The following is a 16,847-nucleotide window of genomic DNA, read 5'->3' as shown; positions in this document are numbered from 1 at the left end:
TAAGGAGGGATTTTTTCCACTCTGGATTCTTTCAAGATTTTCTCTTTGTCTTTGATTTTCTGCAGTTTGAATATGATGATACCTAAGTATTAGCTGGGCATGGTGTAAACCCTAAGTGTAGGGTTTTTTGGTATGTATCCTGCTTGGAGTTTTCTGAGTGTCCTGGATCTATGGTTTGGTGCTTGTCATTAATTCGGAAAATTCTCAGCCATTATTACTTAAATATTTTCTTTTTCTTTTTTATCTTTTTTGAGATGGAGTCCCACTCTGTTGCACATGCTGTAATGCAGTGGTGTGATCTCGACTCACTGCAACCTCCGCCTCCCAGGTTCAAGAGATTCTCATGCCTAAGCCACCCGAGTAGCTGGGATTACAGGTGCGCGCCACCAAACCCAGCTTGTTTTTGCATTTTTAGTAAAGATAAGGTTTCACCGTGTTGGTCAGGCTGGTCTCAAACTCCTGGCCTCAAGTGATCCACCTGCCTTGGCCTTCCAAAGTGCTGGGATTGGGCCAGGTGTGGTGGCCCATGCCTATAATCCCAGCACTTTGGGAGGCCGAGGCAGGCGGATTACGAGGTCAAGAGATCGAGACCATCCTGGCCAACATGGTGAAACCCCGTGTCTACTAAAAATACAAAAATTAGCCAGGCGTGGTGGCGTGCACCTGTAGTCCCAGCTACTTGGGAGGCTGAGGCAGGAGAATCGCTTGAACCTGGGACGTGGAGGTTGCAGTAAGCTGAGATTGTGCCACTGCACTTCAGCCTGGTGACAGTGGGAGACTCCATCTCAAAAAAATAAAATAAAATAACAAAGTGCTGGGATTACAGGCATGAGACATTGGGCCATTGCACTCCAGCCTGGGGAACAAGGCTGAAACTGTCTCAAAAAAAAAAAAAAACAAAAAACAAAAAACAAAATTAGCCAGGCATGGTGGCGTGTGCCTGTAGTCCCAGCTGCTTGGGAGGCTGAGACATGAGAATCGCTTGAACCTGGGAGGTGGAGGTTGCAGTGAGTTGAGATTGTGCCACTGCACTCCAGCCTGGGTGACAGAGCGAGTCTCTGTCTCAAAAAAAAAAAGTCATTGATAATGCCCCTACAAAGTAGGTACTATTATTTTCCTCATTTGATAGGCGAGAAAACAGAAAAGTGGTTATGTAACCTATCCAAGGACATTCGGATTTATGTGACAGAAGAGGGGTTTAAATGTAAGCATCTGGACTCCAGAAGTCACCCTCTTACTGCTGTGCTGTAATGCAGTAGTCCTCAGCCTTTATGGCACTAGGGACCAGTTTCATGGAAGGCAATTTTTCCATAGATGGCAGGGTGGGGGGATGGTTTTAAGATGATTCAAATACATAACATTCATCATTAGATTCTCATACCAGTCCGTGGCCCGGGGGTTGCGGACCCCTGCTCTAGTGCCTCTCCCAGTGTCCAAATGCACATTTATCCTTTCATTCAGCAAACACATGTGTTAAGCATTGTTCTAGGCACAGGAGAACAAGACAGACAAGGTCCCTGTCCTCATAACGTGTATATTACAGTAGGAGAGACAGCAAATGAACATGTGAGCAAATGAACAAACAAATGTATTCAGAGAGAGAAGGATATAAAGAATTAAACAGAGTAACATCACATAGAGGCCCAAGATGGGGCATCTTTACAAAGTGTGGTCAGAGAAGACCTTGCTGAGGAGGTGGCATTAGTGCTGAGACCTGAAGGAGAGGAGGGTAGAGGAAGAGCATCCAGAGGGAGGAGTCAAAGCAAAACCAGGAATGAGGATGCTGTGTCCAAGGAGCAGAAAGATGGCCAGCGTGGCTGGTCCATGTGAGTGCAAGGCCAGAGTGGGGGATGGGGGCCACATCAGTGCAAGGCTCTGTCAGGCAGAGTTCAGATATTGTTCTACATATCACAGGAAGGCACTGCCAGGTCTTAGGCAGGGAGTGACATGGCCTCATGCGTTTCCATGGCTTGAGTAAGCCTCAGAACACAGTCAGGAGACCCCAAAGAGTTTGTGCCTGTTTCAGGATAATAGACCATCCCCCAAGGCTGGGTCTCTGGGGGGTGTGCATGTCAAGGAGGGAGACTTGTGTGCGAGGCAGCACCCTCAAGTACAGCTCATGCTGTTAGCAGCAGCATGCAGTGGCGGTTGTGTAGAAGAGAACAAAACACCAGAACTTTAGTGCAGCTCAGGAATCCTTAACCTTATGTGGCTCTCTGTGGGTTCTAAGTCTCCCTTCAGAAATCCTGTTTCAGTGTTGCCACCTTTCCTAGCCATGAGCCTAAGCTTCAGATGCACAACTTTTCTTCTGCACATCAGAAACAGGTTTGCCTTCTTCCTTTCAAGATGGGTGGGTGTTGTTGGTTTTCTCCTCCATGTAAACAGGCAGCAGCAGAAGTGGTCCTGACCCAGATGCCCTGACAGCTTTTCCTGGTGTGATTTTGGAAGGTGAGATTTGCACATCATGCCTCACATTATCTTCTTCCACAGCATTTCACCATCCAGGGCACATTTGGAACATTTGGAAGTCATGAGAAAAGAGCAAATAGCTTGGTCGTCTCTAAGCAGTGAAGACGGTGATTTATCAATTCATTAAAGCATTGTCATTCCATGCATGCTGCATTGTAACCCCTTCCGTTATGCGGAATACTCCGACAAAGTGGTGCAGGTGGGAGGTGGCCTAGCAGGTGAGCGAGAGAGCAAGAAAGAGAGAGAGAAAGGAAACCAGGAAACTCTCCAGAGGCTGCTGCGTGGGGTACGGCATTTTCTTTCTGCACTTACCTGGCAGGATTAATTATACTTTCTACCAACAAAAATGAACCTATTAAGGTAGAAAATAAAATTTCCCCACCCCTAAGATGCCTTACTTGCTTATTTGTTGGGGATCTAGGTCAGTGAAAGTAGGTGAGATGAGAGAAATCATCTAAGAAAATGAACCTCAAGGGGATGAAAATGTGACAGTCTGAGCAAGAGGGTAATTAGACAGATGAACAGACCAACCAACAGGGCTAGTCTGTTTCTCACAGCACCATCTCCAGATACGGTGGGAACTCTTTAATGCAGATCTTACCTGCTTTGTACAGTGGATATATTTCTAACCACTTTAAGGCGATTAGATTTTTGTAAACCAAAAAAACCGCAATACTTTAAAGAGTTTTTATTTGAAGAAATAGTTGGTAGAGATAATTTTTGTAAACAAATAACTATCAGATTTTATGTTAATTTAGCCCGGCATCTGTATTGGAAGAAAGACACTGTTTTGAAGGTGAATTCCGCATGCAGTCCTGTCAATTGGGAATCTATTTGGAAACATATTTTCAAGCTTTGTGTTTCATCCTGTCTTCTTTTCCTAAAGATCTTTAGAAGTGCTGCACACAGTGAACCTCCTTAATCATGTATTTTCTCGCAACCTTTCTTTGTCTTAGAACCACAGAAGGTTAGAGCTGGGATCACAGGAGGTTAGAATTGGGGAACCTTAGAAGCCACGAGTCTAATTCTTTTCTAACAGCTGAATAAACTAAGGCCCAAATGTCTGAGCTTATTTTGTTTATTTTCCCAAACCATCTCCAAAAATGTTTATGGACATTGAAGAAGACTGTATTGCAATGCAATTCCTTGACAAGTCATTTCTCCCTGTACCTGTCACCAGCCATGTGGGATGAGACAGCACATTGTCATTGCATATTCTTTATTCCATTGCTAGCCTGCCAGACACTCTTATGCTGCTGCTTTCTAGGTTTCCCAACCCACTGATTATATTGCATTTTGGATGATTTCTCCCCCAGCTGCCTTCATTTGCATTTTTCTGAAATCAAATCTCATTGTGATAATTTCTATTCATATTTCTAACCTCTTTGGATCCATCTGTGTTATTCCTCTTTCCTCAATGATGTCTGCAGCACCTCCTAATTTAGTACCAATCAGAAATGTTATTAACAAAATGTGTAAGCCTTGTTCCCAGACATTAATGAAGATACGAAATGAAACAGATCTAACAGACACAGTGAGGCCTTCTGTTAGTGGCCTCTTCCCCACCCCTTTATTAGATATTGAATTGTTTTTCATCATTGGTCCTTGTTTATCAAAGTCCAGGCTTTTCAATCATCCTGTTCCAATTCCCATTAATGCCAGCCAGCGCTCTCGTCACGGGATTATCTCAGGAATGCTGCCTCAATGCCTTATCACGCTCCAAAGATACAATGTCTACAGGAGTCATTGAATCAGCAGTTTTAATTAATGATAATATTTATTGAGTTTCAGATGCCAAATGGAAATTTCTAGCTTTGCTTTTAAAAACTCTTTCAGAAGGCAGAAGCATTTGATTATTTTTACCTTCTTCCATTTGAATATTTCATAGCTTTTCATGTAAATCTGCTGTTTAATTACCACTACATTTAAAAGTGCATAAGCCACTATGTGCTTATGAAGAACACAAGTAATATCTAAGAAGTGGCCCTTGGATGAGGAGCTTACAATCTGATAGAGCTGGCTAGACTTGTGTGCAATAAAGACTCTTATAAAAAGACAATGTGGAGTTAAATTGCTCAAAAGTGTCACACTGACTTTTAGGGCTGCAGAAATTTGAATATGGGCTAGGATCATTGGACAAAGCCTACTGCAGAAGGGGAGATTTGAGCTGCACATGAAGAGGATTTGTCTAGGCAAAGAAGAAGAGGAGGGTAGGGAAAACATCTGAGCAAAGGTAGGGAGAGAGGAATGATTAGAACATACTGTATAAGGTCACAGCATAGTTAGAAAATCACCCAGATTGAAGAAGTAAGCTGACAGGGTATAGTGTGTTACAAATCTGGTTACCCATGTGACATCTCTTATTGGATGTCCTAACTTAGGCTTCGCAAACTCAGCATGCCCCAAATCAAAGTTGTGACTCTACCTTCTCACCGAAACTGTTCTTCTGTTCTTCTCCTAGCTTTCCCACCAGAAGTCTGGGTATCATCCATGATTTCTCCATTTCCCTAGTTATCCCTCACCAATTTTTAAGCCAATCCCTTCAGTTCTATCACTAAATTACATCTTGAATCTGCACACTTCTCATTTTTACCACCTTTTAGTTCAAGATCAACTTTTTTCCTAGGCTACTGCAAAAGCCTCCTGAACTGGTCTTCTGATTCAATGCTTGCCCCTCTCTATATTGTAGCCAGAGAGAGCTTATTGGAAATTAAACGACTCTCCAGCTAAATAAATAAATAAATATTTCAGTGGCTTAGCATTGTATTTGGAATGAAATCCAACCTCACTGTTATGTTCTATGGGGCCCTGCGTGATCAGGGCCTTGCACACCAGTCCTCTGTGTCCACCCCAAGTTGGTGTACTTCAGTGTAATTCTGACACTAACCACCCGGGGTTAACATCAGATCCCACAAGTTAAAGGCTGAGTGCTCCACATGGCTGTCCCCACTTCAGACGCCTGCTGCAAGGGCTGCAGAACAGTAGTGGGGTCCCCAGGCTACCTGTACTTCTGAATGACCAGTGATAAGTTTGGGGGTTTCCACAATCTCCTTAGGTTTGATAATTCACTAGAACAACATGCAGAACTCAGGAAAGTCCTATACTTACGATTACAGTTAACCCTTGAACAGAATGGGTTTGAACTGCGCAGCTTCACTTAAATGCATGGATTTTCTTCTGCCTCCACCACCTCTGAGACAGCAAGATCAGCCCCTCCTCCTCTCAGCCTACTCAATGCAAAGAAGACAAGGATGAAGACCTTTATGATGATCCACTTCCACTTAATGAATAGTAAATATATTTTCTCTTCTTATGATTTTCTTTTTTTTTCTGGATCTGCAGAGTTATTGATTCAAAGTTGCCACATGGTGGGGGTACAAACATTCGTCAGTCACTGTGCATGCAATTGGTGACATTTTAATTTGGAGGCAATTACCACCACAGATATCTTCTTTCATTAAAAAATAAAATAAAATTTTCAAAGCCTCTTACAGGCCAAAGGTCTAAGAACAAGATCCTCACTGAAATACTCAAGAGTTTTCCTGAGGAAAACTCAGGAGGTGGAAACAGCTTTGAACATTTTCCCACTGGCCACAGCAAATAATGCTAAAGTCATAAAGCTTTGGCACTGACAGCGTCAACATCTGCATGGGAAGTGGCCCCTCCGCCCAGCAGAAGGGAACATGATGCCTGTGGGAACCGTGGGCAAGCATCTGAGAACTCCAGGGCCTGGAGTCAGCACAGGGCTGCTAAGCACGGTGTGGGCTTGTGTTAAACTGAAAAGGTGGGGAGTGGGGATTTGGAGTGACCAGTGGTTCCCACCAGTCAGAGGCAGCAGACTCAGAACTGTGGGACCCAACATGCCTGGGTGGACAGTGTACAGAGGACGGTGGCAGAGGCGCCTGCGGCTAGGCTGCTGCCCATGCTCTGGAGGTTGCCTCGGACCCAAGAGCCCAGGACAGCAGTAGCAGAGTGTGAGATGGGCCATCCCAGCAGCCAGACCCTGCATAGGGTGCCACGCACCCTGCCCTCCGCATTCCCTCTTGTGACTGGAGGCCACCTCTGTATCCTGGACGATGGGCATCAAAGCTGTGTCCGGCCAGTGTGTGCAATATCCAGAGTAAAAGGACTCTTCCCAAATGGAGTCCTCTTCAGGGAGGTGGCAGGGCTGTGTCTATACAGCCTCTGCCCTCAGCCCCCTCAGCCTTCCCATGCACCCAGGAGGACCTCTGTGTCCGTCTGGGGGACCCCAGCACTCAGAACCAGAGGCTCTGGCTGGAACACCCCTGAGCTTGCTCTGGACAATGCCCAGCCAGGCTCGGACATGGGCTTGCCTCTCACCCCAGGGGTGTTCCAACACAGAGCCCTTTAGAACATAATAATGAGGTTGGATTTCATTCCAAATATAGTGCTAAGCCACTGATTTATTTATTTATTTATTTATTTTGCTGTAGAGTAATTTCCAATAAGCTCTCTCTGGCTACAATAGAGAGGGGCAAGCATTGAATCAGGAAGACCAGTTCAGGAGGCTTTTGCAGTAGCCTAGAAAAAAGTTGATCTTGAACTAGAAAAGGTGGTAAAAATGAGAAGTGTGCAGATTCAAGATATAATTTAGTGGTAGGACTGAAGGGATTGGCTTAAACATTGGTGAGGGATAATTAGGGAAATAGGGACAGGCAATGAGAGATGTCACACCAGCATCTTCCAGGAAGAGGCCAGCCTAGAAGCTAGGCATCCAGACCCCACTGCTGGGCAAGGTCAAAGGCACCGGAGCTGAGTATCAGGAGGCACTCATTCTGCAGACCCTTGAGATGCCAACTCTGGCCAGAAAACCCAGAGCACAGGTGCCACTGCATCCCTACAATCGGGAGCAGAGCAAACCCGGCCCTGCCCTCTGTGCCTACCTCACTGGTTAGAAGAGGCCACCCCCATCCAACCAGGGTGTCTGATCAGGGTCACACTGAGTCCAAAGTCTCTGCTCCCAGGACTTGCAGGGTCTCCTGATACCTGGTCTCCTCCTCGCTTCCCCAGCCCCAGCCTCAAGGCTTGCCTGGGTCCCCCTGGCTCGTGGATCCTACTTATCCCCAGCTTCAGCCTCTCCCTCAGGGAAGCCAGCTTGTGGGCCAAGGCAGACCTGAGAGGTTGGGGCCAGGATTTGAATAAGATTGGAGAAGGTTCCTGAGGGCTGCTGTTCCTCAGCGGACTGGAGTTTGCCTTCTGGTGTGTTTATGAACACATCTCAGGTTCAGGCTGGGTGGTTTTTGAGAGGAAGTGGGAAAAGACACTTGCCTTTTCCATCACCTTAAAATCACCGGAGACCCAGCCCTTGAGTGTGAAATCCACTGTGGCACCCCCCAGCAGTGGTGAGCCAAGTGTCGGCCTGGCTGCCCTGAGAGCCCCACGCAGCCGCTGATGGAGAACCTGACACGGGATACCGCCTCTCCGCTCAGGGGCTGCGATGCCTGCTCCCGACGTAGGGAGAACAGGCGCCAGCTGGCAGTCACACATCTTTTTCCTCCCTGGCCAGCTCAGAAGTGCTTTGGCCATGGTGGGGTGTGTTGTGTGGGGTGCTGGCTTCTCAGGGTGGTGGGTGAAGGGCACCCCTGCCCCAGGATGGCCAGGTCCACCAGCACTTGCAGCAGGCGCAGACCAAGAACTGCATGGGCAGCTTTCAGCAGGAAGTAGGTGGTCCCGAGGGCACTGCCCTTGTCCTCATGAGTGCTCTGGATGCTCATGTCCTCAGGACCCATGGCAGTGGTTGCAGTAGAGCTGGGGCAGGTCCATCATGGCGTCGGTCAGCATGGCCAGGAAGCCCAGAGTCTCCACAAACAGGCCCCAATCGATGGACGAGTCCTGATCTAACCTACCATGCCGGCAAAGGCCAAGACACACTCCACATAGCCCAGGAAACTGCTCCAGTGCCAGGAGTGGTGAAGATCCAAGGATTTTATGCTTAGCTCCTTTGCCATGTAGATCTCAGGGCAGAGTTTCACCATCAGCAACATGGACAACATGATTATGCTCTGCTACAAGAGAGGTGACTCAAAATGCCTTCCAAACCAGAAGAATGTCTGTAAAATATTAGGCACCAGTAACACCAGACACACCTAGCTAGAGAAGCCATCGGTAGTCTGAGTCCTCTGGATGTGACTGCACTGCGGGATCTACAGCACCACCCCTCCAAAGACCATGGCCCCAGCTTCCCTTTAGGAAACCAGCTGGTGCAAGGGCATCAGAAGCCCATCTAGGTCTCTGCTTCTATCCGGAACATTTGTGTTGCCCTGTTGGGCAGCTGACACCCACCTCTCTAATCACATGGCTGGTCTTTCTGGTGATCTGCTCCCATCCTGAGGCTATCTAGGGGCCCATGAAAGTCACCTCTAGGATAAGAGTTGTGGAATTTCCTATCAGGAAATTCCAAGGGTTTTTAAACCTCTGTGCCAAGAACCAGGCACAAAGACCAGATATATTCTTTATTATAGCATAATGTGTCTTAGACCTCATCTCATACCAGGCTTGTCCTAGCACCATGCTACCTACACAATGGCCTTTTCTTAGTTCCTCGATTGTTCCAAGTCCTTCCCTCTACCTGAGACAATTCCCCTCTCCCTCCCACACTTCCACCTCCAACTCCTCTCAACCTGAAGATGACCCAGTTAAGAATGGCCTTGCTGGCCAGGCGCAGTGGCTCACAGCTGTAATCCCAACACTTGGGGAAGCCAAGGCAGGTGGATCACCTGAGGTCAGGAGTTGGAGACCAGCCTGGCCAACATGATGAAACCCCGTCTCTACTAAAAATACAAAAATTAGCTGGGTGTGGTGGTGAGTGCCTGTAATCCCAGCTACTCGGGAGGCTGAGGCAGGAAAATCACTTGAACCTGGGAGGCAGAGGTTGCAGTGAGCCAAGATCGCACCACTGCACTCCAGCTTGGATGACAAGAGTGAGACTCCATCTCAAAAACAAAACAAAACAAAACAAACAAACAAAAAAACAAATGGTCTTGCCTATATTAAGGTCCTCCTTTGTTCAGCTCCTTTATTGGCTTCACAGCTCTAATCCCAGTCTAAAATTATTTCGCTTATGTTGACTTCATTTACTTTATGTTTAGTATTTGTCTCCTCGATAAACTATAAACTCTTTGAGGACACAGCCTCAATTGTCCTGTTTGTTCTTTATCTTCTAGTGTGTACCGGTCAGTAAATATCAGTCAAATTAAAGGATAAAATATGGGAAAGATAAGAATGAGTCCAGTCAAAGAAACCTGTCTGATTTTCAAGAAGAAGAAAAGTTTAGATTTTATAAGAAAAGTAATACACAGAGATTGTCAAATAATAAGCAAAAGAATGATAGATTTTGGGGAGTATGAATGGAAAGAGGATGTTAACAGTATGCCGAATGTATTGTGGAGAGGAAAATTACTATAAGTGGGAGGCAGTTAGAAGGTTATTACAGCATCCAAGTAAATTGATAAAAGCCTGAACAAGGGTGGTAGAGTAGAAATGGAGTGGAAGGGGAAAAGCTGAGATTATAAAGAAGAGTGCCCATGAAATTTTTGTTTTTAGCTTTCACTTTTATTTTGAAATAATTTTTTCAGATCTTTTATTTTGAAACTTAGAGAAAAGTTGCAGAAAATCATGAGCTTGGGTATAGCCTTCACCTAGATTCACCAACTCTTAGAGTACTGCTCATTTGCTTTATTCCCTTGCTCTTTCCTCTGTACATGCATGTGCATTCTTACGTGTTCTTTTTTTATGAATCATTTGGGAGTAAGTTATAGACATCATGCCCCTTTATTCCCAAATACCTCAGTGTGTATTTCCTAATAACAAAGACACTTTCACATAGACAGAATACACTTACCAAAGTCAGGGATTTAATGTTGTATCCAGGATTCTATAATAGTTCAGGGTCCAATTGAGGATTATGCATTACAATGAGTTATAATGTCTCTTTAGATTCCATTCATCTGGAATAGTTCCTTGTTTTTTTAATTTTATGCCATCAATATTTTTGAAATGTACTGGCCAATTAAGTTGTAGAATGTTCCTCCATTTGGGTTTGCTCATGTTACTTCATAATTAGACTCAAACTCTGCATTTTTGGTGGGAGTACTACATTAGCATTCTTGTGTCCTCCTCAGCATTGAAAAAGAGGCACATGACATCACTTTGTCACATTATTAGAGGTATGAACTTTGATCATTTGGTTAAGGTGGCATCTGCTAAGTTTCTCCACTGTAAAATTGCTATTTTTATTTTGTAATTATTGAATTAATTTATGCAAAGATTATGAGCCTATATGAATATTTTATCTTCATCAAACTTTTACCCAATAGTTTTAGCAAACATTGGGGATTCTTGCCTGACTCAGTTATTGCCATGACAGCTGCAAAATGGTGATTTTGTAACTCTATTATTTCTTCTACATTTGTCAATTGGTATTTTACTGTAAAGAAAAGTTTGCTTTTTCCAATGTATTTATAGCCCATGGACTGTTTTTTGATTACATGGATTATAATCCATTACTGTCATTATTCATTTTAATGACCAAATTACCCCAGTTTGTTCAGTGGGAGGCACTACAAATGCCTCTTTTTTTTTAGTATTTAGAAAAAACTCTTTCTTTTTAGTGTGGTGTCTTGCTGTGTTGCCCAGGCTGGTCTTGAAATCCTCAGCCTCCTGAGTAGCTGGGATTACAGATGCACACCACCACACGTGGCTCTTCTGTCATTTCGACATGCCCCATCATTTTTTAAGCACTTCCTTTCCGGCACAACAAAATATACTGAGCTCCCCGTGTACTTTTCCTACCCCAGTCCTGGCACCAGCCATTTCTCCACACTCCTGATTCCTTTTAGTGGAGAATGGTATTTTAAAAACAAGTTGTGGGAACTAAATATGTTCATTGCTATTGGGTTATCATTGTTTTCTAGGCCCTTTCTTCCCCCTCAATTTTTAACTCATGGAATAAAGGAGATCTAGTTCAGGAGACTAGAATAATGGTCACATCACTGACCAAAAGCCCTCCAAAGCCCAAATTGGAAAGATTTCCAGAAGACCAACTTATTTGCCAAGATGACTGTCTATGCCATTTTAAAAGTATGTGTTAAATATGTGGTTTTTTAAAAGTGAAAAGTCTTATTTGAATACATTCTCGTTGTTAAGAGATTTAAACAAAAGAGTAATAGAAGAAAATATGAAACATTTCTTTCCTTTTTTTCAAACTTTAAGTTTTATTGGCACTTTTTAAACTACTAAGGTTGACTTTTCAACACTTACCCAGCCTCTAAGACCTATGTAGACCAAGTGCCACATGAAGGCAAGGCAGCAGGTGGCAACTTGTCCTCTCAAAGCCACAATTTGCCAGGTGGTGTGGACTGCTGCCAGGCCACTCTTGGGGACTTTCTGGGATATTCTTACAGATTAGCCTATTATCTGGAGAGAAATAAGTACTGACCCCGTATCAACAATGGGGAAAGCACCCAACATTGTTTTTCACTGTTTGAATTGGCGTCTGAACTGGAGGAGATTAAGTTTAGACCCCAGAGACAGAGATAAAGTCTATCTCTAGTAAGCCTTACAGTTTCTAAGGAGTGGAGCCACCAGTATCTTTTTCTATTTGACCCTCTTGATAGAACAGCTCCTTTCCCAGAAAGGATGCCATTCAGACACACACACACACCACACGCACGCACACGCACATGCACATGTACATGCATGCATGCACACGCATATTTTCTACTCTAAAACCTGCCTGTTCAAGCTGACATGTTGACATGTTGGTCCTGGTTTCTTTTTCACTACTGACTGGAAACAAAGATGTGTTATGAATACAAGTGGAATTCCCTTTGGCTATGTTTTGAGACTGCTTGGGAAGTTTTTTGTTCTGGAACTTTAAACAGCCACAAAATTGAATTAAGGGATAGCAAAACCATCTTGGTGTCTGGTTGGGAGCAAGCAACTGTTTCCAGCTAGGCTAGGGGAAAACCAATCAATGATTCTGGTTTCAGATCTGCTGAATGGGACAAGCTAAATGCTGTTTACATTTAGCCTTCATCTTGCTAACCAGTGGAAATTATGTGGGCCTTAAAAGACAGTGTCCTCTGTTGCCATTTAGATGACTAGATTCGAGAATTTATTTTGAACATAAAAGGAAGCTGGGGAGTAGTTCTGAAGGAGCAGGTTGCTTCATACCTCTTTTCGGTGGACTCTTGAGATTGATGACCTTTGCTCAAGTCCCAGATAACACTCAAAGGCTGTGCGTGGGAGAAAAATCACCTCATGGTCAATTTCAATTTCTACAGTTTCAGTGGAGACCCCACTTAGGTATGTTATCAATCATGGATAGTGAAGTAATGGAGGCACAAAATACAGAATGGGTTCAAGCGAGGGCACTGCCACACCACTTGACGTGTGATTGGTTGATTAGTTGCTAACGAGAATAAAGATAGAAGAAGGATGACATAAAGGTGTATTAACAGACTGGATTGCCAGATGAATCTTAACTGCTTCATCGAGGAGAAGCTGGGTTGTTTTCATTCAGGAATATAGAAATGTTTTCAAAAATAACTTGTTTCTCCTGTATTACAAAAGAATAATCTGTTTATTATAAAAATTTACAAAACACAGACAAAATAAAAAAGAGTCACCCACAGTCCCAATTCCTAGAGAGAACCACTGCAAACAGTTTGGCTAAGATACTTCTTTTGTTTTTCCCATGCTTAAACTTATATTTTTTATTAAAAATGGATTCATAGTGTTTTGAGAAGTACTTTTCTTCTTTCTTTCTTTCTTTTCTTTCTTTCTTTCTTTTTTTTTTTTTTTTCTTGTAACAAGGTCTTACTCTGTTGCCCAGGCTGGAGTGCAGTGACACAATCTCAGCTCCCTGCAACCTAAGCCTCCCAGGTTCAAGCGATTCTCCTGCCTCAGCCACCCGAGTAGCTGGGATTACAGGTGCCCACCACCATGCCCAGCTAATTTTTGTACCTTTAGTAGAGACAGGGTTTCACCATATTGGCCAGGCTGGTCTCAAACTCCTGATCTCAAGTGATCCTCCTGCCTTGGCCTCCCAAAGTGCTAGGATTACAGGTGTGAGCCACCCTGCCCGGCGAAGAAGTACTTTTCTTTTAACTACTTTTACCTTCATCTTTCTAGGTCAATACTACAATAGCCTTTTTTTTGTTAATTAGTTTTTAATACAACACTAGTAGAATTCTTTCTAATAATTTCAGAGTATAGGATCAAGCATAAAAGTATTTCTCCTCATTCCTACCTCCCAATTTCATTCCCATGAGGTAACACTAAGGCTTTTTCTCTTACTATTTCTTTCATGTATATATAAGCTTTTATTGTATATGTATACACACACAAGTACTATTTAATTAATTTATCACAAAATATTTAATCAAATCCTGTTATGGGGAAATGCAGGGTCTTTCCAAGTTTTTATTGCAGTTAGCATCCTTGTGGTTAAATCTCTGAACACAACCATGATTTCCTTAAGATAAACTCCAGAAAGTGAATTGTTAGATGAAAATATATGCACAATTTTAGGGTTTTTGATATGTAGTGCTCATTTGCCCTTCACACACTTTCTGCCCATTTCACATTCTCACCAGTAGGCAGCATTGAATTCTTAATTCTTCAAACTTTTAAATTTGAAGTATAATGCACACATTGAAAAGCGTACAAGTGGCTGGGTGCAGTGGCTCATGCCTGTAATGCCAGCACTTTGGGAGACTGAAGCAGGAGGATCCCTTGAGCCCAGAAGTTTAAGACCAGCCTGGGTAACATAGTGAGACCCCATCCCTACAAATAATAAAAAAATTAGCTGGGCATAGTGGCATGTGCCTGTGGTCCCAGCTACTGGGGAGGCTGAGATGGGAGAATCGCTTGAGCCCAGGTAGTTGAGGCTGTAGTGAGCCATAATCACACCACTGCACTCCAGCCTGGGTGACAGAGAGAGACCCTGTCTCAAAAAAAAAAAAAGTGCATAAGCCATGAGTTAGACTTGCACTGCTCAGTGTGGTAGTCACTAGCTACGTGTGGCTACTGAGCACTTGAAATGCGGCAAGCCCCTGGAGGTGTGCTACAAGTGAAAAATCTCTAAGACTTGGTACGGAAAAAAAATAATGTACAGCATCTCAATAATTTTTATACTGATTATACATTGAAATGATAATATTTGGGTATGTTACACTAAGTAAAATATATTATTAAAATTAATTTTACTTGTTTCTTTTCACTTTTTTTGTTTTTAGTTTTTTTTTTTGTTTGTTTTGTTTTTTGAGACAGAGTCTTGCTCTGTCACCCAGGCTGGAGTGCAGTGGTGTGATCTCGCTCACTGCAATGTCTGCCTTCCAGGTTCAGGTGATTCTCATGCCTCAGTCTCCCGAGTAGCTGGTATTACAGCCGCGTACCACCATGCCCGGCTAATTTTTGTATTTTTAGTCGAGATGGGGTTTCACTATGTTGGCCAGGCTGGTCTCGAACTCCCGTCCTCAGGTGGTTCGCCCACCTCGGCCTCTCAAAGTGCTGGGATTACAGGCATGAGCCACCGTGCCCAGCCTCTTTTCACCTTTTATTTTATTAATTTTTTCTGTAGCCCAAGTTCAATCAAGGGTCATTTCACTTTTTAGATGTGGCTACTAAGAAAATATTAGTTATATTATGTGGCTTGAGTTATATTTCTATTGCAAAGTAGGACTATAGTATGGCGTCTCTGCTAATGAAGCCTACCACCTGAGCTCTACACTCCGGATTTGTTCTGTTCCTACTCCTCTCTCGCTCGCCCACCTACCTGTGCCTCATTTATGCCCAGCGTTCTTAGAACTAATGTAGCTCCCTTCAGTATTCCAATTTTTTATCAGGAATAATCAATTAACATGTGGTGAGAGTGCACTTTTAATGGATTGCAGAGTAAGACTGTGATCTACTGGAACCTACAATTCAGTATAAACTCTAAGTTGCAAATTTAATACAATAATTTGGTAATTGATTTGTTTGAATGTTTAAGTATCTAAGCTTCAGGAATTACTGCTGAGTTCAACATCATGTCCCTACCAGAATATGTACATGGAACATGAACAGACAGATTACCCATACTTGACAGTCAGTTCATGATGGGCATTTGTCATCTCTGTATGCCTTAATATTGTTTTTGTTTCCCGTGCAGCAAAGGTGATGGAGTGGCACACATAGTTTTAGACAAGAGCTATCAGCACCATGCAAACACTAAGAGGAAGAGAGATTATCAGGATACCGCTGGGGGTATGGCTTCCAGTACAGTTGATCTCCATTCACTCCCCGCCTCCCAAGGTTGAGATGGTTGGGCCATCTCTCCCTCCTCATTAATCCTCAGCTTTCCCCTCTTCTTGTTGCTAAAGCACATACTGACTGTACCAAAATGAGCTCTAGGTACCCAAACCTTTTCAACACAAATGCTATTCACAGGTAGGTTCTTTCCCCTACCCACCCACTCCCAATCACTCCAGAGCAGACAAAAGTGCAGGTAAGTAGGGAAGAAAGGTGATTGATTGGGTGAACATATAAATCTTGCTCCCTTTCTGCTCTATTGTTGATGCACATCTTGTTCTTTAATTTCTTTTTTTAATTTATTTATTACCAAGTTCCCAAGAACTACAAAACACATCTTATTCTTTGAGTCATTTTTCACTGGACTCAGCTTTACACTTGAAAACAAAACAATAACAAAGGATTAAAAAATACATCTTAAAGTATTTTTGGCTTCATTATGTGCTTGATTATTTGGAATGTGCTTCATTCCACTGTTATACTTGCTTCATTCCACTATTGCAGTCAGGTAGCTTCTGTTGGAAAGGTATCCAGGTGAAAGGAATGAAAATAAATATCTCTGTTTGAACTTTTCTTCATCATGATGGGTCTTTTCATTGTTGTTGTATTATAATTAATTTTGTGAGAATAATGTTTCTAGCTATTTGAAACTCTTCACTTAGAGTTTCTACAAGATTGCATGACATTGAATTAAACAGCCATGTATTAGTTCATTATCACATTGCCATAAATAACTACCTGAGACTGGGTAATCTATAAAGAAAAGAGGTTTAATTGACTCACAGTTCTGCGTGGCTGGGGAGGGCTCAGGAAACTTCCAATCACGGTGGAAGGTGAAGGAGAAGCAAGCTATGTCTTACTATGGTAGAGCAAGAGAGAGAGCAAAGGGGAAACTGCCACACACTTTTAAACCATCAGATCTCGTGAGAACTCACTCAATATCATGAGAACAGCATGGAGGAAACTGACCCTATGATCCAATCACCTCCCACCAGGTCCTTCCCTCAACACATGGGGATTACAGTTACAGATGAGATTTGGGTGGGGACACAGTGCCAAACCAT

General features: G+C 43.3%; 1 protein-coding gene, 1 long non-coding RNA gene and 1 pseudogene across 3 annotated transcripts in view, besides 2 other annotated features; 2 read left to right on the top strand and 1 right to left on the bottom strand.

The window, feature by feature from the left end:
- Positions 1-16,847, top strand: part of SCD5 (stearoyl-CoA desaturase 5) — a 169,258-nt gene that overhangs the window by 98,329 nt on the left and 54,082 nt on the right. The window lies entirely within an intron of this gene.
- LOC124900727 (uncharacterized) lies at positions 1,074-5,782 on the top strand. Its single transcript, XR_007058166.1, has 2 exons — positions 1,074-2,448; positions 5,586-5,782. It is a non-coding gene; the product is annotated as an uncharacterized LOC124900727 (long non-coding RNA).
- Positions 5,904-6,404: an enhancer, noted in NCBI's record as "H3K4me1 hESC enhancer chr4:83615217-83615717 (GRCh37/hg19 assembly coordinates)". NCBI's record gives its function as "activates a minimal SCP1, AML or CMV promoter by ChIP-STARR-seq in naive H9 embryonic stem cells {active_cell/tissue: H9 hESC(naive)}" and the evidence as "EXISTENCE:reporter gene assay evidence [ECO:0000049][PMID:30033119]".
- Positions 6,405-6,905: an enhancer, noted in NCBI's record as "H3K4me1 hESC enhancer chr4:83614716-83615216 (GRCh37/hg19 assembly coordinates)". NCBI's record gives its function as "activates a minimal SCP1, AML or CMV promoter by ChIP-STARR-seq in naive H9 embryonic stem cells {active_cell/tissue: H9 hESC(naive)}" and the evidence as "EXISTENCE:reporter gene assay evidence [ECO:0000049][PMID:30033119]".
- Positions 7,962-8,732, bottom strand: SLC66A2P2 (SLC66A2 pseudogene 2; annotated as a pseudogene).

The sequence above is a fragment of the Homo sapiens genome, chromosome 4 (genome assembly GCF_000001405.40).
Source record: "Homo sapiens chromosome 4, GRCh38.p14 Primary Assembly".
Lineage (NCBI taxonomy): Eukaryota > Metazoa > Chordata > Mammalia > Primates > Hominidae > Homo > Homo sapiens.
The sequence above is the reverse complement of the archived record's forward strand: the minus strand, read 5'-3'. Positions and strand labels throughout refer to the sequence as shown.